Below are 25,414 nucleotides of genomic sequence, written 5' to 3'. Positions count from 1 at the left end.
GTTAGAATCAGTTAAAATGATGGCAAGACTGCGGTTTCTCCTGCCCAACCACAGAAACAGCGCTGAGTGCCAGGACGGCTGTGACGCCGACATTAGTTAGCTTTAATAGGGCCATGTCTGCCCTTTCTTTGGTTGATGGCGTTCCCAGTAGTTTCCTAGTATTAAAGTTATCAATTTAATGTTTCCAAAGGCCCACTTAGGCTTTTCTTTCACATCTGAAAAGAGAATAATTTTTCCTTTGAAAACCTTGGTGGCCCAGAGCAGCTGCCTCTCTCCCCTTGGTCTGTGTTGATCCTCTAACTTAGGGGGTGGCACAGGAGGGGGCAGAGGTGAAGCCCAGTGGCTGTGCGGTCCCTGGGGCCAGATGCCGACGTCCAAATCCCCACGCCTTGTCTTTCAAGCTGTAGGACCAGGAGGTGCCTGAAGCCCTCTGGGCCGGCCGTGGTGTCTCCCTCGTAACAAGCGCAGGTCATCACAGTGCCTACCTCACGGGCTCTTTCGAAGCTTCAGTGAACACTTTGAGTAAGATGCTTTGAACCTTTCTTAGTACAGAGGAAGCTCTCAAAATGTTGGCTGTGGTTACAGACACGAATAGTGTTAATAACTAGCATTAAAACGGAAAATGAAATTCTGAACATAACTTTATTTTAGAAAATAGCACGATACACTGAACTTCGGTTTGAAAATAAAGAAATAATTGGGCTGAAGATAAGCTTAATCTGTGATGGAAGGTTCCATACATAATTGTTCCAGGGCCTTTAGTGGGAGCAAAATTAATTTTCGTGTAAGATGATTAAGCTGATGAAATTGCTCTTGAGCGGTAAGTGTGTTTAATTAAATGCAAAGCATCGCTGAGCTCAGGTACACATTGTCCCCGGGGAGTGTCCTGTTCTCTGAGCTGTTTCCTTGAGCAGCAAGGTTGGTTCTAGGCGGTGTGTTTGTTCCCCATCTTCCTTGGTGGCTGAAATGTCTGTGATCGAGAATAACATCGTGAGATGCCCATTGTTCTGGGGCGGAGTGTACAGGCATGACCTGTGCAGCCTGCAATAATTCAAACCAACTAGAACTGACTAGAAAGCTAGCCAGGTCCCCACAGGGTTAGACTTCCTGGAACAGAAACGCCAGGAAGTTGAGGGCTCCCTCATATGTCAGGAATTTATGGAGTGATCCAAGCGTCTTAAGCTCTCTGGAATTATTTTATTGATTTACATCTCTGGAGAATGGAGCAGCCTGACTACGTTTCCTGGGGGAGGTTTTCATCTCGGCTTTCAATTTTCACTTGTTAATGATCTGTCATTTGTAGCTAAGTGGAGATACAAGAAATAAAATACTTCATTCAACAAAATAGTTAGGGTGCGGGTCCCATGAGCCAGGTGCCATTCGGGGACTGGGAGTATAGCAGAGGACACGGTAGTCCCAGCCCCCGAGCTGCCCAGACTCATCTGAATGAGCCCAGCCTGCTGACCAGGAGGAAATCCACTGACCCGGAATGGTGTAGACACTTGCTGTGTACAAAAGAACAGCAATTAAAGGGGTGAGGTACTTTTTTGGTCAGTTTTGAAAAAAATGTGATACTTAGTTGGTTTTTTTTTTTTTTTTTTTTTTTTTTGAGGCAGGATCTTGTTCTATTAGTCTGGAGTGCCTTGGCCTCCCAGAGTGCTGGGATTACAGGTGTGAGCCACTGCACCTGGCCAATAGATTTTTTTTTTTTTTAAGATGGAGTTTTATTGCCCAGGCTGGGATGCAATGGCGTGATCTTGGCTCAATGCAACTTCTACCTCCCGGGTTCAAACGATTCTCCTGCCTCAGCCTCCTGAGTAGCTGAGATTACAGGTGCCTGCCACCATGCCCGGCTAATTTTTGTATTTTTAGTAGAGATGGGGGTTTCACTATGTTGCCTAGGCTGGTCTCGAACTCCTGACCTCAGGTGATCTACCCGCCTCGGCCTCCCAAAGTGCTGGGATTACAGGCGTGAGCCACCGTGCCCGGCCAGGCTTTTATTAAAAGAGCAGTTTTAGGTTTACAGAAAAACTGATCAAAGAGTACAGGGAGTTCCCAAGCACCCCCTCTTCCTGACCCCACAGTTTCCCCTATTATTACTATGGTACATTTGTTTCAGTTGATGATCCAATATTGATATTGTATTATTAACTAGAGTCCATAGTTTACATTAGGGTTTACTCCTTGTCTTGTGCATTCTATGGCTTTTGACAAATGTGTCTCTGTCATAGCATCAGACCCTGTAGTTCCACTGCCCTAAAAATCCCTCCTGTTCTACCTGTTATTCCCTCCCTGCTGCTCACCCCTGGCAACCACTAATTTTTTTTTTTTTAACGATCTCCATAGTTTTGCCTTTTCCGCAATGTACTATAGTTCAGTGGTCTCCAACCTTTTTGGCACCAGGGATCAGTTTCATAGAAGACAACAGATGGGGAGGGGGAAAGGTTTCAGGATGAAACCTCAGATCATCAGGCATTAGATACTCATAAGGAGCATGCAGCCCAGATCCCTCGCATGCATAGTTCACAGTAGGGTTCACATTCCTATGAGAACCTAATGCCTGATGATCTGACAGGAGGCGGAGCTCAGGCAGTCACTTGTTCACCCACCATTCACCTCCTGCTGTGCGGCCTCGTTCCTAACAGGCTACCTTTACTAGCCCGCAGCTCGGGGCTTCGGGACCCCGATAGAGTTGGAATCATATAGTTTATATCCTTTTCAGACTGGCTTCTTTCACTTAGTGATGTGCAATGAAGGCTCCTCTATATCTCTTTGTGGCTTGATAATTTATTTTTTAAAAGTGTTGAGTTATTCCAGTATCTGGATATATCATTCATTCGCCTATGAAAGACATCTTGGTTGCTTATGGGAGTAATTCTAAGCTGAACTTAATCGGTGTCTATTCCCAAACAGGGTGGCTTTAATGTGTGTCCATCCGGGGAGACCCTGGAGAAATCAAGAAGGCAAGACATTGGCGATTTCTGTGCTCTGGACACCAATTTCGTGACTCACAAGTTATTCATCCAATACTATCTCATTCTAGCAACTAGATGTTGGTGAAGTCACTATACCAAAGCAGCTGGGGCTGGGTTCAGAGGACATTAGAACCCATGGTCATTAAGTTTGCATTCCAAGAAGGCTGATTTTCCCAACTGTCTACACAGTCAATGCCAAAGTCCCCAAATAACTTATTTACCAACCAGAATATTATCTTCTTAATAACCAAAGTCAGTAAAGCCGGCAGGACCCAGGGAATCTGCTCATCCCTCCTCTCCTTTCCCATGAGCTGTACAGGAAGGTACCCCAAGCCAGGCCTGAAGGTTTCTGGATAAACAACAAATAGGAAAGAGGACATTGTTAGCAGAAGGACATTTACACCAGGACATCGCAGCTCTACCTCATTCTGTTAGGCATCAGGGTTGGTTCTAACCAAGTCCCACAAATCCCTTTGCTCCCGGCAGACAGTGCAGGGATACATTGATCAATTCTTTATCTTCATTAATTTTAGGATTCCTTAACTGTGGCCTGAAGCTTTGGTTCTAATCACATTACTCTTATTATATGTTCCCAGGGTTGGTTTACATTGCTTTCATTTTAATGGGGGCTGCTTCTTGAACTCACTAATTGCATGACTAATTACACTAAAGCATTGTGGATCCTCCAGTCCGATGTGCTGTCTCAGGCACGCATCCATTCATTCATTCACTCGAAATGTGTCAATCCAGTGTTTCCTGCGTTCCAGGCACTGCTCTAGGCTGGGAGGGGCCCCATGGGCTGTGAGACCAACAAGGACTCTACTCCCAGAGGCCTCCCATTCCACTGGGGCAACTGGTGATAAGCATTTTAAATGGTGATGGGATGGGGAGATGCGGTGGGGCTTTAGCCTCTGCTGAGAGGTGATCTGAGGACAGGATGAGGCAGCAGAGGCAGGAAAACAGGATGCAGCTCCGCAGAACATCTCAGTGCAAAGATTCGATGGCTGTGGAGTGTGGAATTTTCTATATATACTGCTATGAACACTTTACCATTTTAACATTCAAATGCAACCTGGAGCCAAAGAGATGGTACTGAATAGGCATAGCGTACACACCTTCATGATTCTCTGCTCTTCTGTACCCAGAACAAGGCGACAAGACACCATCCCCAAGGCATTACTAGGTGTGTATTGGTTTGGGTTTGGTTTTTACTAAAAGTGGCAGAAAACCTAATTATATTGACTTAGTCCTAAAAGGGAATGTGTTGAAACACAACTGAAAAACCCAGCTGTAGGTATCCAGCTTCAGTTACAGCTTGATCCAGGGGCTGCAGTAATGCTGTCAGGACTTGGTTTCTCCTCATAGCTCAGCGCTGTTCTCTGCAGTGCTGACTCCACACCCAAACTCTCTGTAACGCCAGGCTGACATTCCTACCTTGCTGGGCTCATGTCATGGGGCTGGCTGATGGTTTAGTGTTCACTCATTTCCCCATCCATTCATTTCTTCAATAGTGTGCGAGTATCTGGCACATACTCAACACTGGGCTAAGAGCTATGTGGTTATTACCTCATCTAGTCCATTTAAGAAGCCCTTGGATTAGGGGATACTATTATACCTACTTCACAGCTGAGTCAATTGAGGTTTAGTGAGGTCCAATGAGTGTTCAAGGTGATTCAGCTGGTAAAAAAACAAAGCTGGGTCCTCGCACCTGCACAGAACCAGCTGGTAAATAAGATACATACAACCGCCAATCTCCACGTGGTTCTAGTTCTGTGAGGACCACCAATAGGTAGTTAGGAAATTAGGAATCTGTGTGGTGCTCAAGAGTGCCAGTAGGGAGGAAAGATGACATGAGAACACAGATGAAAGGTCTTAGAGGGAGGGCTTCCTGGGCGAAGTGACATCTGCCTGAAAGACAATAGAGCCAGCCATGTCGGGACAAGGAGTATAGACCAGCCTCATTGGGGGATAGCGAGTGTGAGGTCTGGCCGAGAGAGGCCAAAGACTCCGTTTGAGATCTTGGAAGGAGTAGTTCATCATAAAGCGTGGAAATGGAGGGTGGTGGCAAGAGATGAACCTTGAGGGCTTAGCGGAACCAGGTCACGAGTGGCATGGTAACCTTCACTCGGAGGCTGGAAGGCAGAGGGGCTTTGGCAGGGGAGGGACATAGATTTCCGTTTTGCAAGTTGGCTGTGTGGAGAAGACAGTAGGGGGTGGTAGAGTGGATGTAGGGGGCCCCAGTAGGAGAATGCAGGGGAGTGAAGTCAGAAGCTGGAATGTAGAGTGGGGAAGGGTTGGGAGGACGATAAGATGTGTGGGCATTCATCAGGTCCCTTTCAGATGTTAGGTGGGACTGCACCCCTGGGCCCCATCTTTCCATCTGGGCCTGTGCATGATGCATGGAAACAGTAGCAGGTGCCACAATGAGATAGCATTGTGAGTCACGAATTGGTGTCCAGAGCACAGAAATTGCCAGTGTCTTGGGGTGCAGCTCTCAATGCCAGCAGTATCCCCTCGAGCTTCTCCTTCCTGCTGATGTGCAGTGACCTGGGTGGTGGCCATTCTGTCAGCTTGGGTCCCAGGTGGGGATGATTTGGAGCAGAGCTGCAGACACAGGGCAGGTGCCACCAATGCACCCAGGTGATCTTAAGCCACTGTAATCAGAATTATTTGTAACCACAGCAGAGTCCAGCCTATCCTCACTGCTACATATGGGAAGGCAACAGAGAGGTTGAAGACTTCATTCATTTGGCATCTCAACAAGTGTTTCAGTAGCTCCTTTGGCCGGATGCTCTCCTGGGTGCTTAGAATACGATAAGCAGGGTCCCTCCCCTCCTGGAGTGACAGTCTAATGGGGACAGAGGTAGGTCCAGGCGCTGGCCCGCCTGGCTTGTGGTTTTTCTACAGCAGTAACCAGCAGCCCATGCAGTGGATGTGGAGAAAATGAACTGCTGAGCTTCCTGAGACTGGAACAAAGCAATCTGATGAAAGGCATGTCCTTAACTCTCAAGAAACCCTGGAAGGAGAACGGCAGGGGATGGGCTCCATCCTGCCTGGTCCCCTGGGGCAGGGGGAGCTGGGCTGTGTCACCTGGCTAGGGTCTTCTCATCTCTGAATCTCAGCTCCCTTTTTTTTGTGTGCTCTGGATTCTGTGACTTTAATTAATGTGCTGGAGACTCTGTTGTTACTGGAAACAGAAAATGATTTGTTTACAGGTGGAGTCAGCCGGGTGTGGTGGCTCAGGCCTGTAATCCCAGCACTTTGGGAAGCTGCAGCAGGTGGATTACTTGAGCTCAGGTGTTTGAGATGAGCCTGGGTGACATAGTGAGATCCCATCTCTACAAAAATATATATATTTTTTCATTAGCCAGGCATGGTGGTAAGCACTGGTAGCCTCAGCTACTTGGGAGGCTGAGGTGGAAGGATAGCTTGAAGCTGGGAGGTCGAGGCTGCAGTGAGCTGAGATCACGCCACTGCACTTCAGCCTAGGTGGCAGAATGAGACCTTGTCTGGAAAAAAAAAAAAAGTCATCTTTAAAGAGAGGCAGGTTTCTTTGCATTGGATGATGTGACGTGCTGGACCAAAGGCAGCATGTGGCTTGTGACGTGAGATGGACCAGGGCTCAAAGACCCCCAGTCAGAGACTTCGGGTGTGATTGTTAACCTGCCTGAGGCTAATTGTTCATTTGCTCCAAGGGCTTTGATGAGGAGTGTGTGAGATAGGGCATAGAAAACATTAAACCTGAGGACTCCTGGTGCAGGTGAGCTTTTCCTCCCGCTTCCTCACTCCGCGTTTCTTGCTTCAGATTCCTTCCCAACACTTCTGTCTCCTCTATTTCCATGTATACAGCTCAAGAGAACAGGTGGCATTACCCGCCTCCCCGTCTCCGCTCCCAAGGATATGTAATTCTGTGTCATGCATCTCCAGGAGAGTTGATCAGGGGTGGGGAGATTCGGGGGGAAGAGAGCGACTGAGGAAAGGAAGGTGGTGTCTTGTGACACAGCTCGTTGTCGAAGGACAGGTTCCCAGTGGCTCTGAACGCTGGGTGCTTGTCCCCCCTGTGACTCATTATGACAGGCGTGCTGTGTGCCAACGGCTCCCATTCGCAGATTGAATTACCATCCTATTCAGCTGACACAAAGCAGTTCCTGGCCGGCTTGGGCAGCCCATGAATAAGTAAATAGCCTTCCAGCCTGGTGCCGAGCACAAACATCCGAGGCTCAGAGAGGCTGGCGTCCACGGGGACCGGAAGGGGGGCCGGCGGGGAGGCCTGGACCAGTCTGTCTGGTCCACTAGACCACTAATCTCCGGTGCCTTGTAAGTACCTGCTTCTGGGGCTGGGGAAAGAGCCCCGTGGGTTAATGAGATACAGCTTAGACACAGACGGGAAATCAATCTCTTTCTAGGCTGTGGGCTGTAGAGCAAGGGTTGTTTTCTGGGCTGAGAGGTGGGAAGAGGCATTTCCAGCCTCAAGGGGTTGTGATAACCCCTGGTTTCTAAACCTTTGGGTCTTAATTGTGGCTCAAATCACTGTTACTACCCTGTGGGTATGCTGTTCCAAATCTGTCCTCAGGCCTTGTATCAGGCTAGAAAAGACCCTTGGTCTCGAGGATCAGTTTCGGTGGGCTGTGGGCGGGACACTCGGGATAGGATGTGGTTCAGGAGGAAAGGCAAGGGCTGGGTGTCCGGTTATTTGTCCCTCCAACTTTCCTCCCTCAGGAATTCACCGTTCTGGTGGGAACAGTTTGGTTTTGCTAGTTTAAGCATCACAGAACTGGCATTAGAAACAGCATCCATTCAAAGTTGTGAAATCTCAAGTGGAAATTCCTACTCTGTATTCAATTTTTGTGCAACATTTTCAATTCTTTGAGCTCAAATGATGAGACAAAGTTGAACACCCTTTAGATAATGAATATACTCAGACAATAGATATAATTGTAGCATTTTAATTTCATGTAGGTCCGCTGTTAGTTGAAATATACAGCAAAACGTGAGGGTGCTGACTCTGGCTTAAGACCTGGGGGGTTCTTTTTTTATTCTATGTAGCGAGGACCTTGTAGTAAACAGATGAAATGAACTGCGTCTATGCCTAACATTAAATAGCAAGAACTGGCTCCTCCCTCCTGGCAGAAGGCATGATCCTGTGCTCCGTGAGGAAGATGTTTATGGGGCAGAGCAGGTGGCCGGTGTTTTATGTGTCCTGGTGTTCCACGGCAGCAGTAAAACGTACATCAATGAATCATTGTTTTTGTTTTCCTCTCTGCCTAAATGGCTCTGTTAATTAAAACTTTGTGTAAAGTGGTCTTCAAGCTCTGTACTCAATTTTACATGGGCTCATTAGGGTTGGTTATGCACAGCCCCACAAATCCTTTAACTTGCTGGACCACTTTTGAATTAATAATTAACATACTTCACATGTAACCATACAGAGTAGTTTTTTATGCCCTATCATCATTAGCAAGCTCTCCAGTCAGCCTGGTGAGATATTAAAGCCCCTTAGCCTCTTTAACGATGGAGTAGGCCGAGCCGAGGACAGGAGGGGCCCCAGAGCAAAGAGAACAGGGTGGTTGAAAAAGCACATCCCGGCAGCCCAGGAAGATGAGGGGAGAAAGCGGTAGGTTTACTTGTTCTGTACGGAGGGCACCGACCTGCACTAAATGCATTGAGAAGCCAGGAATCATTGCCCCACCCCCCAATTTTTTCTTCTGTAATAGAACTAGAAAAAAAAAATGTACATCACTTGCAGATTATCGTGACTTCCTGTAATCTCGTTTTTTCATGTTATTCTTAATGATTTCTCTGAGAGAACATGATTCCTTAGAGGAGCAGAATAGGATGTGTGTTGGTGGAGGTAAGGATTTGGGGGTTTGCACTAAAAGGAGGTAGTCAGCAATGACGACGATGTGCCTCTGCCTGCAGGGATCTCACTGGAGGTGTCTGCCTTGATTTGTTTGCATCCAGCCCATCTGATCTGGTTAGAAACGTCTCTTTTATTTTTTGCTGAAATCGTCCCACGATGAAGTAGGTGGACCAGTGGTGTTACATCAGTTGATTTTAGGAGATGTATAGATTTTTAAAAATGTTTTTATGTGATAACTATTTGTTTCATGTAGTTTAAAGAAAAGACATGGGCATATCAAGTAAGTTAATGTGATAGTATAAGGTTTCCTTTGAGAAAGATTTGTGGAGGAAGACTTCAGTGAGTTCCCAAGCCAGACACAAGCATGCTTTCTTTTGTGCTGCAACAGTAGTTTATAACTTGAAAGTGCATGCATGTAATTTGAAAAATTAAGTGTATAAAGGTATATGGAAACAATCTCGTGCTGTCTCTTCTTTCCATACCCAGTCCCTTGAGCCCACTTTCAATACTTTTAGTGGTTTCTTCTTGAAGCTCTTAAATAATAGTAAAAATTGCCAATATTGTAACTTTTTTTTTTTTTGACTTACCAGTTTTCCAAAGTAAAAAAATATTAGCAGCACTTTCTGGGGTGGTAGATAAGTGGTTCTCAAAGGGCTTTGAGCGGGCAGTTTTGCCTTTCAGGGTTGGCGTTGGGAGACACTTCTGTTTGTCATGATTCAGGGAAACGTGTGTGCTACTGGCCTCTGGTTGCTACTGGCAGGGATACTGCTAAACACCCCATAGTGCACAGGACAGCCTGCACAAGGAAGAATTACCTGGCCCCAAATGTCACACTGCTGAGTTTAAGAAGCTCTGTGGTAAATGAAGATTTAGTTATCTTAGTTTCCCTCCCCCAGTCTATACACATAGTTAAATTGCTACTTTATTTAAGTGAATACTTAGTTGTTACGTTGTTATTGTGTGTATATTGCTAATGGTAGCACCAATTAGTGACTGTGGTTACATCCCTTTCGTTGTATGGCTTTTTAGTTTTCCTGGAGTTATTAATAGCCTGATTTTCAATTGTGCCATTTGCAATCCACATATTAAAAACTCTTCTCCCGTTCTTTCTGATATCAAAAGCTTTTCTTGAGTCTCTCTTTTCTCTAGATTCTTTATTTCTAAAGCTCTTTGTAATCTTGTTTCAAACCCATTGCTCTTGAGAGCTAAGGCTCAGCTGTCACCTTGGAATTCTTCTCTATCCCTGTTTAGGGTAGGATTTGTTGTTTCCTGGATCCCGTGGCTTTCCCTTTTATCTTTTTTTTTTCCCCACTTGTTTTGCTGCAGCACAGCTTCCAGTCATTTCCTAAGAAAGAACAGGCTGCGGAGGTACATTTTATGAGTCTTTGCATGTATGGTAATCTCTCTTCTCTATCCTCACACTTGACTGACAGCTTGTTTTGGGTATAGAACCTTAAGTTGGAAATAATAGTCAATCAGAATTTTAAAGACATTCTGTTGGCTTCTAAGATTGCTGCTGAGAAGTCTAATGCCCTAACCCATTTTTTTCCTTTTTAAAATTCCACCTCTTCTTTCTAACGGTTATGGGAAGTATTTAGGGCCTTCTCTTTATCATTCACCTTCTTGAATCTCATGGTACTCTTTGCTTAGGTCTGTTCTCATCTGTGTTGCAGAGCACTCAGAGATCCTTTAATCTAGAACATGTTCTTATGTTTTTCTGACAATTTTCAATTTATCGTGATTCTGGGCAGTTTAAAAACTCTAACAAAATAGAAGTAAAGGAATTTCTGATATTTTGGTTGTTTATGTCAACATGAAGGTCTACTGATACATATATATATAGGAATTTTTGTTTTTAAATATTTGGTGGCCCAGATGAGAATTCCCCAAGAGTTTATGTGTAGCATGCTTTTTATATTTTTTATATTAATTTTTATAATTAATTTTTATGTTAATTTTATTAATTAACTTGACAATAACTCTTTCTGTAGTTGGCTGGGCATCAGTCAGCTGATTGTTGTTATTATTTTCTCTTTCTAGAAACCTTATTGGTAAAAGTTAGACCTCCTGGATTGATAGTCTCTTTTTATCTTTAATATTTTCTAGCACTTTGGGACATATCTTTTATCATCCAAATCTGCCATTAAAATTTTTATTTCAGCAACTATCTTTTTCATTCACAAGAGTTCTTTTTGTCCTTCATTGGTCTTTTTAGCATCTTGTTCTTGACTTTTATGTGCTTTCTGAAGATACTTGTTAGACTTGTTGCTTTTTTTTTTTTTTTTTTAAAGCTTGATTGGTTGGCTGGATGATCTCTCTCTCTTCTGGGTTTTATCATTATGTTCTTTTACTCTTCCATATTAGAGGTTTTTAAATGAAGCTGTACTCCTTGGTACTCCAAGACTGCTTTTGGAGCATAGTCTTGACAGGTTGGGGGAGGTCAGTGGTGAGCTCACTCCAGGGTAGCTGTGAGGGAGCTGAACACATTTTGTTGTAGAATCTCCTCATGTCAAACATGGTCTTTGCTCTTGGATTGTAGTTTTCTACCAAAATATTTCCAGTCTCTTGCCTAGTTTGAGAGTGGTGAGGGGTAGCATCCACCTACCTGCTTAATGCATTGGATCTGGGGAGGGGTATCCACAGGTGGACTGTCTAATTTCTGTTTTCAATATAATAGCACTTGGCTGTTATGACCTCTACCTGCTGCATGTGAGTCCTGAGCTCCCTCATTAAATATCTCTAGAAAATAAACTTCAGTCTCCTGCCTAGATGTGTTTCCCTCACAGATTGCTTGCACAAAATTCTAAATTTTATTAGATTCTAGCTTGAACTAACATTATGCATGCCTGTTCTGGTATTCCCTGTCAGACGAAGAGTCCTGGAAGGCCTTGATCTTACTCATGCTTGGGCCTAACAGCTGTCAGGAACTTTGCAGGTGCTCAGAACATGTTTGCTAAATTGAAATAAATTGAATTTTGACCATACAGATGGTTCTTCAGCTCCAAGTTCTAGGATAAAGCCTCACTTGCTTTTTATCCTTCCTCTCACTCCTGCTGGTTCATATGGATGCAGGATATCAGCAAGCTTTTTGATGAAACCGAAGTTAATTCAATTTATCATCTTATTCTGTGGTTCTGAGCAGGTTAATAACTCTTTTTAGCAAAACAGAAGTAAAGAAATTTCTGATATTTTGATTGTGCATGTCAACATGAAGGTCTACTGATATACAGGAATTTTTGTTTTTGAATATTTGATGGCCAAGGTGGGAATTCTTTAAGAGTTTACTATGTGTAGCATGCTTGTTGGTTTTTATATTTATTTTTATTAATTAATTTGACCTATAATAACTCTTTCTGTCATCGGCTGGGCATCAGTCACATCTTGATAATTAAGGATATGTGCAGTGCATGCCCAGTTATTGACTTGTGCCCTCAATTCTGTCCCTTGCTATCATCTGTCTATCCTGGATAATTAGCCCTAAGTGCATTTCTTTTGGCAAATTCAGGAACTTGATGGTCTACTCAAGGAGTCACAAAAGCTTCATGTCAATGGCTGTGTTGTATTGTTGCACTGTTCCATACCAGGAAATTTGGTTGAAGGGAAAGAAAAATCTCAGGCTGGGAGGACCATGAGTTCAGTTTCAAATCTGTCCCTCACTCAGCCCTCAGTGTTCTGAACTGGAAAATGGTAGCAGAATTCCTGCTTCTCCCTGGCTCTTAAGCATCAAGGAAGGTGAAGGAGGCAGACAAGCAAAATTGCAAGTCATTCTTTGGTGACAGAAGATTGTGTCTACTTCTTCCCGCAGCTTGGAAATGACCCGCCACACCTGAAGCCTGCAGGTGCTGAGGCCACATTCGATCAGACCCAAGCTTTGGGAGACCGCTGGGGAAATTTCCCACTTCCTCTCCTGAGACCAGGAACTCAGCAGAGAAACTTTGTGGTAAGTCGTCCTTTCTTTTCTCAGAAGCAGTATTCCTCTGTATCAGTTAGGGGCTGTGTCTGTTCTTTCATGGTTTGTTGATTTATTTGAGGCATATTTATCGAGTGCCAACTGTATGTCCCCTAATTAAGAGGACTAAGTAGTAAACAGAGCAGATGTGTTCCTTACCCTCACAGAGAGAGGAACATCATGGGGAACAGCCGTGCAAAGGCCCTGAGGCAAGAAAGAACTTGATGCCTGAAAATCTGGGTGTCTGGAGCACAGATGGGGACAGATGGACAGGGCAGTTCATTCAGGACCTCAGGGCTGGCTGTGCTAGGGTATTGATTCTAAATCTCAAGAACAATGTCCAGAGAGTAGTGATTGATTTTAGGTGGAGAGTGACATGATCCAATTTTTATTTTAATAAGATCACTTCCAGTTCTGAATGGAGGTGGAGGTAAGCGTGGGAGCAAAGAGGATTAGGCGGCGACCATGTAGTCCACATGACTGGCAAGGGTGGCCTGCACCAGGATGGTAGTGGACGTGAGGGTCATTGGAGAGGTCCCGGATATATTGGGGCAGCAGGACCTGCTAGCCATTGTGATAGACTGGGCTGAGAGGGAGTGCAAGGGGGTGACAAGAATGGCCTTCATATTTTTGGCGTGGGCTGCATGGTGGAAGGGGAGGACCATTTCCTAGGATGAGAAAGACTGAGAGAGCAGTAGAAGTGTGGGGAGATTCACATTCAGGTTTGCGCCGAAGCCCAGTTTTGAGTTTGAGTTACCCGACTGACACCTAAATACACGGGAAAATCCACAGTTCGATGGTCAGGTTCAGGGTTCAGGAGAGAACTCTAGGCTGGTTTCTTCATTCCTTGTGAAATGTTTGGTTTGAGGTTTCCTGTGCAGAGGTGTGATCTGAACTCAGGGCAATAGTTCATTTCACCCTGTGTGATCATGAGACAATCTTGGGTAGTAAGAATAACAGCTGCTTTCTGTTACTAAAGGTTTTCAACCCGGAAATGGCTGGCTAGGCACTGGTGGCACTGACTGTTCCACCTGCATTTGATCGCGCAGCAGAAGATGAATCAGCTGGACCTTTGGTGCCCCTGCTTGGGCTTGGCAAATGAGTCTGAGTCTCAGATTCCAGTAAGCGTGGTGGTGGTGGAGGAGATGGTGATGATGCTAGCCGTAGTCCTGGTGATGGAGGAGATGTTGATGATGCTGGCGGTAGTTGTAGTGATGGAGGAGACGGTGGTGATGCTGGCAGTAGACTTGATCGAGGAGATGGGGATGCTGGTGGTAGTTGTGATGGAGGAGATGGTGATGATTTTGGTGGTAGTCATGGTGATGGAGAAGATGATGGTGATGCTGGCGGTAGTCGTGGTGATAATGGTGGTAATGGTGATGCTGGCGGTAGTCGTGATGGAGAAGATGGTGGTGATGCCGGCAGTAGTCGTGGTGATGGAGAAGATGATGGTGATGACTGATAGTCATGGTGATGGAGGAGATGGTGGTGATGCTGGTGGTAGTCGTGTTGATGGAGGAGATGGTGATGATTTTGGTGGTAGGTAGTCGTGGCAACAGAGGAGATGGTGATGATGCCGGCGGTAGTTGTGGTGATGGAGGAGGTGTGATGAAGCAGTAGTTGTGATGGAAGAGATGGTGATGACTGGTAGTCATGGTGATGGAGGAGATTGTGGTGATGCCAGTGGTAGTCGTGGTGATGGAGGAGATGGTGGTGATGCCGGCGGTAGTCGTGATGGAGAAGATGGTGGTGATGCCGGCGGTAGTCATGGTAATGGAGAAGATGGTGGTGATGCCAGTGGTAGTCATGGTGATGGAGGAGCTGATGGTGATGCTGGCGGTAGTCGTGATGGAGAAGATGGTGGTGATGCCAGTGGTAGTCATGGTGATGGAGGAGCTGATGGTGATGCTGGCGGTAGTCGTGATGGAGAAGATGGTGGTGATGCCAGTGGTAGTCGTGGTGATGGAGGAGCTGATGGTGATGCTGGCGGTAGTCGTGGTGATAATGATGGTAATGGATCCAGCCAGTATGTGTTCAGTAGACCTAAATCCACACCCAGTCCTCTGATTCCTATTTTATGCATTCATTTTCCATAGAAGAAGGCAGAAAAGGTCTGATGTGAAACTTAACTCTTTCCAATGTAGGATATACACTTGGTAATCATTTGTTTCTCATTACAATAGAGCCACTAATCATCACTTAATGAGTAAAGGCAGCATCCTTGGAGGTGGGTAAGATTCCTGAAAAATATTTCAAAACCCTTTCATTTTCATTATTAATATAATGGTATCAGTTTCTTCAATGAATATAATTTATGACAATATGTTTATCTGTATGCCCTAAAAAGACAAATTGTGTCATTAAGAACACTTTCAAAGAGTGTGTTTCAACTGAGTGGTGTGGGTTATTAGTTGTAATTTTTTTCCAGTGCATTTATTATACTTGGCCTATGGGATACAGAAGCCAATCAGTCCTCCTAGGGATCACAAGCAGATTATTTTGAGGGCTTATTACTTTTTTGATATTTTTAAATTTTGGTCATTCTGGGGTTGGAAGCTAGAGTGGAGTGATGTATGTGTGTATGAGTCTTTCCTATATTTGGAATGAGCTGGTCTTTTTTTGATAGATTGTTGGCTGCTTGGAATTGCAGATGCATCATTAAGCTATTGCATTTAAATTTAGCTCTTGTTCTCACTCTAGAAGGGAATGGAATGTTTGAATTATTTCACCATGAAGGGAGAGCAATTAGAAAATAGGTCCTCATGACTGTTTGAAAGAGTGGGCCTAGTTCGTGAGTCTGAGATGGGCTGCACATTTGACTTGGAAGAGGAGGCTCTCTGAGAGTAGCTCCAGTCTGGAGGAAGTTAGAGCTGCCTGAAGCACACCTCAGTGGCTGCTAAATTTTAATCTCTCCAAAGGCAGCATTTCCTGTCTAAATCCACAATGACCATTCTCAACGGCTCTGTCGTTTCCCTCCATCCAGACAGGTCTCGGCGCCCCTCTATGTCAATAAAACATATTAAGATGCTTATTCACAGATCTGAGTTGGAAAAGTTATCAACAACTTTCACAGGGGTTGTGAGTATGTGTGAGCAGCTTTAAAGTTATGCTCATTTCAAAATTGCTGCAAGAGAATAATTTGAAAGTGCCTAGCATAAAAAGATTAATGTAATAAATATCCTAATTACCCTGATTTGACTTTCACACGTTATATGGGTGTATCAAAATATCACGTGTACCCCAATAATATGTCCATTTATTATGTATCAATTTAAGACACCCAGATAGGTCGGCTGGCGTGGTGGCTCATGCCTGTAATCTCAGCACTTTGGGAGGCCGACGTGGGCGGATCACAAGGTCAGGAGTTTGAGACTAGCCTGGCCAACATGGTGAAACCCTGGCTCTACTAAAAATACAAAAATTAGCTGGGCGTGGGGTCGTGTGCCTGTAATCCCAACTACTTGGGAGGCTGAGGCAGGAGAATTGCTTGAACCCGGGAAGCAGAGGTTGCAGTAAGCTGAGATAGTGCCATGACACTCCATTCTGGGCAACAGCGCAAGACTCCGTCTCAAAGAAACCCAAATATAATCCTAGTTAAAGTGAATTAAATCAGTACAGTAAAAGAAAAAACAAAATTATTTTACCTTGTCAGATTTGAAGGGCAGCAGATGCTCACTGAAAAAGTCACATCTCACAGAGATGTATAAAGTAAAACATTAAAATCACCTGATAAATATTTCCTGTTCCTAATTCCCATTGGCAATCATTATGAAGAGTTTGGTGTTTCTTTTCAGAATTCTCAGACCTTTCCCCACGCATACACAAATCTACACACACACACACGTCTTGGTGTAAAATAGAGGCAGGTGTATAGACAAAAGTGGATGTGGACACACAACTCCATGTGTGCATGTCCAAGTACACACATAATCTGTTCTGCAACTTTTAATTTTCATTACTTACATACTAAATTTATATATTTAATTTGTAAAATCTCATGTATCTTGACTCTTCTACCAAGCTAACCACTGTCATCAGTTTGGACCTTCCAAACATATGTGAAACTCTGTCCTATAATTTTGTATGTGCTTTAAAGAAAACTATATTTTTCTGCAGATTAGTATTTTCCATTTCCAGAACATTTCCTAGAGACCTTTGCCTGTTATTTCCTATGAGTACATTGGCACCCAACCTCAGCCTTGTAAATCGCTGTGTTTCACCCAGCAGTGTAGCTATACTGAGTGTCTCAGCCTGGGCTCTCCTAGAGCAAGCCCAAGATAAGTATTCCAGCAAAAGTGGTTTCATGGGAAGGTGACCCCAGGAAATTTTGGGAGGGGAGTGTGGAAGTGAGACAGGGCAGGGCAGGAAGTCAGTAATGGGTGTGTGTTATCCAGCCAGTTGCCACTGTGGGTGATGGGGACTCAATCCTGCTGTGGAACCTCTGGGAGACTGTGGTGTACACCGTGGGATTATCTGCTTGAGGGATGAGGGAGCTGGGGTATTTATCCACCAGCACTCTTCACTTGGCTGAGGCGGTCTTGCAGGTGCATGGAGGCTCCAGCATGTCTTGCTTGCCCTGCATGTAGGTCAGGCTTGGGTCTCAGCTAGATGGAGCCCCCAGGCACAGAAATGCAGGTGTTGGTGGTAACCAGCTTGGTGTGCATGGAGTTGAGCGCTAAGAGGTTATGGGAGGCAGCTTATGCCCACTGAAGGCACTTGCTGCTGTTGATGAACAATTGTGCTATATGTAGATGCACACACAGATGACAACAGTTAACTAACTGTCCCCTAACCATGCCTAATTATTATCAGTACTACAGCAGGGAACATACTTGTCCATGCTACCTGTGTACATTACTCGAGAATCTGTGCAAATGTGCCTCTACTTCAGGGGGTGGGGGCAAGGGGAGGGGGAGCATTAGGGCAAATACCTAATACTTGTGGGGCTTAAAACCTAGATGACAGGCTGATGGGTGCAGCAAACCACTGTGGCACATGTATACCTGTGTAACAAACCTGCATGTTCTGCACATGTAGCCAAGAACTTAAAGTAAAATAAAAGTGCTTCTATTTGTATAAGTGTTGAAATATATAGAAAAAGCTAAAGGGGAATACATGTGTGTGTTCATCATAATATGCTTTTTAAATTCAATAATGCAGGATGGAATTACCTCAGTCTTTAATAGTATTCAGTTGACCTTCGTTTTATATGTATTTGTGTAAGTAGCCCAGCAACCTGATTTTGTACACTACAGATGCTTGGCAAATATTTGTTGAGATAAGAAACCATTGATACTAGAAGGAAATGGCCCCAACAGTATCCCCAGACCTCAGTCCACGCCATCTGTTCTTTCATTTTCTCTGTTAGATGAGTCTTCTTGTTCCTACCTGCAGGGCTTAGTAGGCAAGAACTGTTTACTCGATGCCATGAGCTCTGGGAACAGAGGTTACATCTAAGCATTGAGCAGGGTCAGAGAGAGAGAAATTTTGTCTTCTATGCCTTTTGTGGAGAATTTTGCGACTATCAGCCTAGTGGAGGCATTGCCTAAATCTGCCAACTAGCCCAATATTTCCAAGAGTGTTGTACAGGCAATAAAATAGACAAAAACAATCAACAAACCCTAGCTAGCTATGGTCATGTAGTTATTGGAAAAAATACAATTATTAGGAAAAATATAACTAGTAGGCCAGGTGCAGTGGCTCATTTCTGTATTCCCAGCACTGTGGGAGGCAAAGGTGGGAGGATCGCTTGAGTCCAGGAGTTTGGGACCACCCTGGGCAACAAAGTGAGACTCCATCTCTATTATCAAATATATATTATATATAAATATATGAAAAATAGTAGAGAATTATACGTACAATTAGTGAATAGTGAATTTATGTACAAAATAACTAGTGAATTAACCAACAGTTTTGTGTTATATGTAGTTTCCTTTTTCAATATAATTATGTATGTAAAACACAAGCCCATTTAAAGAAAGAGGGTCAGTTAACAGTGGGCACAGAGATGGCAAAACTTGTGATGTTTGGGGACTCTGTTCCCCGGAACCTCCTATGCAGCCTTGTGGGGGCTTCACGTCTGCTCCAGTCAGCCACAGGCCCTGCCTGTTACCCAGGATCCAACCTGAAACAAACAGGCCTGCAAGTTCTCAGGGCTCATTTTTGGTCAGGACCCCAAGACTAACTGTCTCGGCCTAATTTTATTTGTGCGGAAATGTCTAGTTAAAATGGCTCTTAATGTCGTTACTCTTCATGACTAAAGCAATTATGTATTTTAAATTCCATTTTGTTGGTTTCATTTTGTTCTGTTATTATTTTTTAAAGTAGACAAGTCGACGTGGAATGGGCTCTGTTGATACTGAAGTCTCAGTGCCAGTTACAGTCAAACGAGTCATTAGTGCTGTCCTGGGCCTGTCGGGAAGTGTGTGTGATGCTGGCCTGCTGGCCTCAGTACCAGGCTGGGTTCAGCGATGGCTCCAGGTTTACCTTCAAGGGCAGTAAAAGGGTAGAGTACAAATGTGTTTGGCAAGAGTTTTGGAAATGTCGAGGAAATAGTCACACTTCCAGCTATGGTACCCAGGTCTCGGTATCATCCATTTCACTCGTGTCTCTTGGTAAACTCGGGCCCTGGGATGTCATTTACTTGCTCCTTTTGTTCTGCAGGACACATAAATGAGGCTGCTGATATAGCCGTGGGCTCAGAGAGGCCTTGGGGCTTGCTATGCCCCGTGGTATTATATTATGTGTGTCGCGATCTTCAGATTTCAGATGACAGAGAACCAGCTCAAACTAGCCTCAGCAAAAACGGGAGCTCTTGACAGGTGTAATTGAAGAGAGGAGATTCTAGCTTCAGGAACGGCTACGTCCAGGAACTCTGCCGATGTTTTGGGAATCTCCATCCTTTTCCTCTGTGTTGGCGTCAGTCTTTAATCAGAGTCCCTTAATGGTGCACTTGGAGTTCACAGGCCTGGCGCTGTTCCCACATTGTATTATCATATCTACAGTTAGGCCCAAAAAGCCAGCAGGGCTGTGTACGACCATGGCACGTGCCCCCTGCTTTTCTCTCATGGGGAGGATCCACCTGGAGTCCATCACCCTAACCCTCACCTTTCAGAAGACCCATCTCCAGAGCCTGGTGACTGAACTCAAGGGTTTCCAACTCACCTAAGGTCACTTTCCACGTAGGAATGACCAGCTCCCAGGGTGCTGGTAAAAAAATGAACCCACCCTCACTAAGGGGTGACTCCATCTCCTTACAGAGGTGTGTGCATATTTTCAGGCCTCCCCATTCAGCCAGATCTCAAGGCAGGTTGCTCGCCCGCCCATGGCTAATGTAACCATGCCAAGGATGGCTCACAGGTGCCCCAGGCCCGGAGTCCAGGTCTGCAGGTTCCAGGTGCTCACCACTGCTGGGTGGGGTGGTTGACTGCGGGTCACAGAGTCTGTTACAGGGTGAGGGGTGTTCCCTACAAAAAGAATGTTGGAGGCCCAGCCCCCTCAAAATGTGATCTTACTTGGAGACGAGGTCTTTATAGAGGTGACCAACTTAAAGCAAGGTCATTAGATTAGGCCTTAATCTACTATGACTGGTGTCCTTACAGAGAGGGGGATTGGATGCAGAGAACATTGGCAGGGATTGGGGTGGTGCTTCTAGGAGCCACGAAGTACCAAGAATGTCAGCCACCACAGAAGCCGGGGACAGGCACGGGCAGAGCCTGCCTGTGACCTGAGGAGCAGCCCTGCCGACACCCCGAGCTTGGGCATCTGGCCCCTGGGACTGTGGGGCCGTGCATGCCTGTTCTTCAAGCCTCCTGGCTTGTCGTACTTTGTCACGGCGGCTGGAGGAAACTAACGTGAGGTCTCTGGTTGCACGCAGCAGAACCTGGTGCTGGCCACCTAAAGGGGAAGGGGATTTGCTAGAAGGACCAATGGCGAGGGCCAGCGAAGCATCAGGGATTGGGAGCCTCAGGGAGGAGGAGAGCTGCAGGATGACCCGCCTGGGGTGGGAGGGAGTGGGAGACATGCTCTGGCTGCTGGTTCTTTTTTTTGTCCTTGGGTCCCTCTGCTCAAGATTTAAATTCAGGGGACTGATTGTTTAACTGCCACCACTTCGGTCTTGTGCCCATCCCTTGGCTGGAGAGGGTGAGGCACCATGACTGCCCTCAGCAGACCACTTCCAAAGCAGAGTCTGGAAGCTCTGGCCAGAAGAGTGAGCCACTGCCTCGGAGGCCCTTTTCAACCGGTTGCCGCAGGGGTCCAGGAGCCTCTTTCTCGACATCAAGTCAAGTCTGCACACCATGTGTCAGGGGGCAGATTTCAGCACAGCGTCGCACACCTGCTCCATGTTGGCCCTCTGTCTTCCTGGCACAGAGCACCAAGGACAGCATGTGTCTGCAGGGCCACCTCTTTGCCCACACAGTTACTGTCCCTTTACGTGTTTTGACCGGCTGTCCACCCCAGGCCTGTGCAGTCTCCAAGAGTAACCAGGCAACAGAAGCATTTGCCGCTGATAGATATCCACAGACAGCAGCCAGCTCCCCGGTGCAAACAAAAGGGCTTCGGATTAGGAGAGGAGGTTGATAAGGGACCGTGAGCACAGCTAGAGCTTACTCTTTAACCTGGGGCCATGGTGTCTGTGCGGTCCCCTTGACGACACACCGTGGCTAGATTAGAGATCCACACTGATCAGTCGCCATGGAAAGAATAACACGTGCGTGTGCATTTCCTGTTTTGTGTGAACATCTCCCAGACCCCTTAATACAGAACTGGGACTTTCCAAAATCGCCACTTGGTTTAGCATGGGTGACTCACATGCAGCATCTCCACTCTGTACACTGGAAAGTTTTAGATATCTGAATTTGAAGGACCAGCTTCCCAAGGAGTAAAAAAATCAATAACGTGATCAGTAAAGAGCATAATGATTTCAGTCCTGGAAGAGGTGAGGGAATGAAAGCTCTGACTGAGCTCCAGAGGTTGGTTTTGTAAAGCAGTGACTGTTGCGTAGCACCCTCCACTGCCTGAAATCGTGTGCGTTTGTGGTCTGTGTGACCTGCTGTAATGTGGACCTCATTGAGGAAGGGATTTCACCTTTGCTCGCGTAGTATTCCCAGTACCTGGAAAGCTGCTCTGAAAATAGCGCAGAAGTTTGTGGAATAAATAATTGGATGACTGAAGGAAGAAGTGGATTAATTAACACTAACATAATGGGAAAACTTATTTCTTCAGTTTTGCCTATTTGGTGCCATAATTTGAAGGTTGCTTGCTATAAAGTAAGGGGTGTGTGTGTGTGTGTTTAACATAAAAAGTCCATCAGCAATAAAGCTGTTAACTAACTTCTGGCTTTTAGATAAAGACCCATTTGTGATGAAAGTCTGGACAGAGGTCCGAACATTCGTCCTCTCTTCCTCCCTCCATCCCTTCTTCGGTCCTCTCTTTCTAGGTGGGCTGAGGCTTGCACTATTAGCCAGATCCTTGTACAACTGGGTGCAGCTAAAATCTCTTCTCCATCCCGTTCGTGCACAGTCTCCCATTTACATTGCTTTATGTTGTTGAAATTTTGACTTTAAGATTATTTACATTACAGAGCTATAAAGATGTTTCCGTCTAGGCACTTTCCATGGAAGGCATTTTGCCTGAATCACTTCCTGAGGAGCCTCCCACCTGCCTTCAGGATGCTTGTTCAGGTGTGGCTGTGAGCAGGAAGAGCCGCAGAACTCCTGGGAGCCCACAGCACTAGGCAAAAGGGCAAATACACTAGCCCCTGGATGTGGCAAACCTCATCCTTCCCCACCTGCTGAACACCGGGATGTTTCAGGGAGGGCGAGAAACCTAAGACTGAAGGGAACCTGATCTTTTTGTCTTTACCAGGAGGAGGGGGCCAGTAGGATCCGCTGTGGGGCTCGCTCCTTGGACCAGGGCCCATGGAGTGAGATGAAGATCCTACGATATATCCAGTGCTGTACATTGTCTATAAAAAAGGTTAATTAACACGTGTAACCTTCTAATCTGATGTTCTCTGGAAAGAGCTTTTTGTGTTGACTGGATCAAACCAGGAGTGAATGTGATGAGAGGAAGGCGTTGAGTGCTGATCATATGCAGTATGAATGATTATTTAGATAATACATTAATATTAGGCCTGGCATTGACGCATAGTTACGGGCAAGCAACCTGCCATCTAGGGGAGTGGAGAACATCATTAACTCTTCATTTGCAAAATTGCTTTGGGGATCCGTGACTCTTATGAGAGTTAGATTTTCTTTCTTTTTCCCCTTTTTTACTTTTTTTTTTTAGAAGAGGTCTTTCTATGTTGCCCAGGCTGGTCTCAAACTCCTGGGCTCAAGTGATCCTCCCGCCTCAGCGTCCCAAGGTACTGGGATTACAGGCGTGGGCCACCACACCCGGCCGAGTTAGATGTTTCTAAGAATCTCCCAGTTCTAAAGAGACCTGGCAATCTGAAAATCAGCTGATGCAATCAAAGTTTTCCAATGATTGGACAACATCTCTAAGTAGCCCAGACAACGGAGTGATTCCTGTTCTACCAGAATAATCTAATTTGCGTGCATTCTGTGAATTCAGAACTGGGGTGCATCTGCGGACCTTCGAGGACTGAAGGTGCTGGGCTGCTTAGCGTCAGGTCATAGACACTCAGCCCAAGGCCCTCTCTGTTACTTTCTGAAGCTTCAGCTGAAATAAGAAGCAGCCCACCTTTGCTAAAGGAAAGGCCGCCTCCAGGCCCTTCTCAATACCTCCCACTAAGCAGCTTCTAGCAGTATCTAAAGCTGGTGTCAGCTGAAACCTGCTTGTCGTTTCTGCCTGGAGCTGTAGCTGGCCTAGGCCTGTGGGGCCACAGCATTGACTGAACTCTCAGCTGGTGCCCCAGGGCAATGTGTGCTAGGAAAAAAATGGAGTCTGGTGAAGGGAGATGGTGACTCACTCCTTCCAGTGAGGAGGGAGAGGAAATGTCAGTGAGAGGCAAAGGGCAGGGATGACGCCATTTGCATGAGGATGGACCTGGGTTCTAAGCCTGGTCCAGCAGCTCCCAGCTGCAGGGCGTGGGCCTGGGCTCTAGTTCCCTAAGCCTTGCATCCCTTGTGTGCTGGATGGAGGTGGCAGCACTAACTCGGGGCGGGGGTCGGGGGTGGGGGATCGTTGGTGACAATGAAACACAGAAGAGACTGGTAGGGTCTCAGCACCAGGCCTGGCCCACAGGAAGCTCAGAACATGAGATGTAAGGCTGGCAGTCCTGGAAAAATGAGAGATGGGGTGGAACCTCTCATCAGTGGGACATGGGGGCCTCTGCAGAGGAGGAGGGGGGCCCCTGCACCCCAACTTCAGGTCAGCAGCTGACGCCAAGGCCCATGTTGCGGGGACCCACAGCCCACACAAGCAGTCCCCGAAAACCTTTCCTTCCTGCTCAGGCCTCTGGCAGAGCTCTCCAGGCCTCTGTGCTGGAAACCAAAGTCACCCTCTGACTTCTCCTTCCTGTGGCCTGCTTGTGCTGGCCAAACTCTTTGCTGGCTGCCACATGGCGATGTAGAAGGAGCTCTCCTGTCACTGGAGAGACTCCAGAGCACTGTGCTGACCCCATCTTGGGACATTCACGTCTTCCTGCCAGCCCTGGGCTCTGCCTTGATGAGCTGGGAAGGTGCGGGATTGGGAAGATTCCGTAACCTCTATCTCATTCATTGTCTCCTAGGATGGTGTCCTGCACATTTGGGCGCCCAGTAGACATGGCTGATGGGTTGGGCGACTTTTTCTATGCCTCAGTTTCCTTAGCTCTTAAATGGGTTTAAAAATAATCCTGCCTTGTAGACAGGTTTGAGGAGAAATCAGCAAGCCCTCAAGAAGAGGTTTGCAACCGTGGTAGTTGCTCAGGTGATTCCGCACTGGCCCGAGCCAGGAGCCCTTCTGAAAACGGCAACAGTCAGAGAAGATGAGAGGAGGAGACTAATAGGGGAGGCAGAAATAAGGAAGGAGAGAGGAGGAGAAGGGAGCAAGACAGCGGAGGAAGAGAGAGAGACATGGGGGGAGAACAGATGGGGGTACAGAAAGGAGAGGAGAGCGGGGAACCGGAGACAGAATGTGGCATGTGTCTAGTCATCTTCTTCAGATGTCTAGGGATGAAAGGGGACACCGTGAACAGCTCCCCATTTGTCTGGTGGGAAACGTGCAGGCGGAACGTTGTGATCTGTAACATCAGACATCCCTTCTTGGACACAGAGCCCAGCGGGTAGGTTTAAGAATGCAAAAGGCTAGGGTGTGTGTGCATCCGACTGCGTCACTCTCCTGCCAGGCAGGGAGACTGGTGCCTGCCAGAGGTGAAAAAGCAAACGCTGTTGTCCAGACCACGTCCCCGCCCGGAGCAGGAGGGCATCTAAGAGGCGTATGGGGACTTCTCCATGTAGCTTGTCTGGGTGGGCTCAGGGGGGCTTCCAAGAGTGATGGCAGACGTTTGAAACCGGTGCCAACCACCACAGGAAAATGCCTGTCACTGTTCATGAAAAATGGTGCTGTTTAAACTTAGTGGGCATTGGTTTTCTTAATTCTCCTCTCCTAATTCTTATACAGTGTCACATTCCATAGCCCAGGTAAGCAATGCATGTCCCTCCACCCCTTTCTCCCTGTCTATAA

The 25,414-nt window shown here is 46.2% G+C and overlaps 1 protein-coding gene across 35 annotated transcripts in view, besides 1 other annotated feature; it reads left to right on the top strand.

The window, feature by feature from the left end:
• RIMBP2 (RIMS binding protein 2) overlaps positions 1 to 25,414 on the top strand; it is a 320,167-nt gene that overhangs the window by 75,203 nt on the left and 219,550 nt on the right. For 20 of the 35 annotated variants that reach the window (NM_001351227.2, NM_001393621.1, XM_047428628.1 and 17 more), the window contains one exon: positions 12,641 to 12,775. Coding sequence is in view for 7 of the 35 variants with exons in the window: in XM_047428629.1 (XP_047284585.1) it covers positions 5,827 to 5,838; positions 12,641 to 12,775 (147 nt within the window). In the remaining 28 variants the exon portion in view is untranslated. Of the gene's footprint in view, positions 1 to 5,476; positions 5,839 to 7,176; positions 7,293 to 12,640; positions 12,776 to 25,414 lie in introns of those variants that run through there. The other 15 variants (NM_001393618.1, NM_001393615.1, NM_001351228.2 and 12 more) reach the window with 2 other exon arrangements.
• Positions 6,675 to 7,192: an enhancer, noted in NCBI's record as "OCT4-NANOG-H3K4me1 hESC enhancer chr12:131118450-131118967 (GRCh37/hg19 assembly coordinates)". NCBI's record gives its function as "activates a minimal SCP1, AML or CMV promoter by ChIP-STARR-seq in naive H9 embryonic stem cells {active_cell/tissue: H9 hESC(naive)}" and the evidence as "EXISTENCE:reporter gene assay evidence [ECO:0000049][PMID:30033119]".

Source organism: Homo sapiens, chromosome 12, assembly GCF_000001405.40.
Source record: "Homo sapiens chromosome 12, GRCh38.p14 Primary Assembly".
NCBI classification, from domain to species: Eukaryota; Metazoa; Chordata; class Mammalia; order Primates; family Hominidae; genus Homo; species Homo sapiens.
Note: the sequence above shows the minus strand (reverse complement) of the source record. Positions and strands in the feature narration are given on the sequence as shown.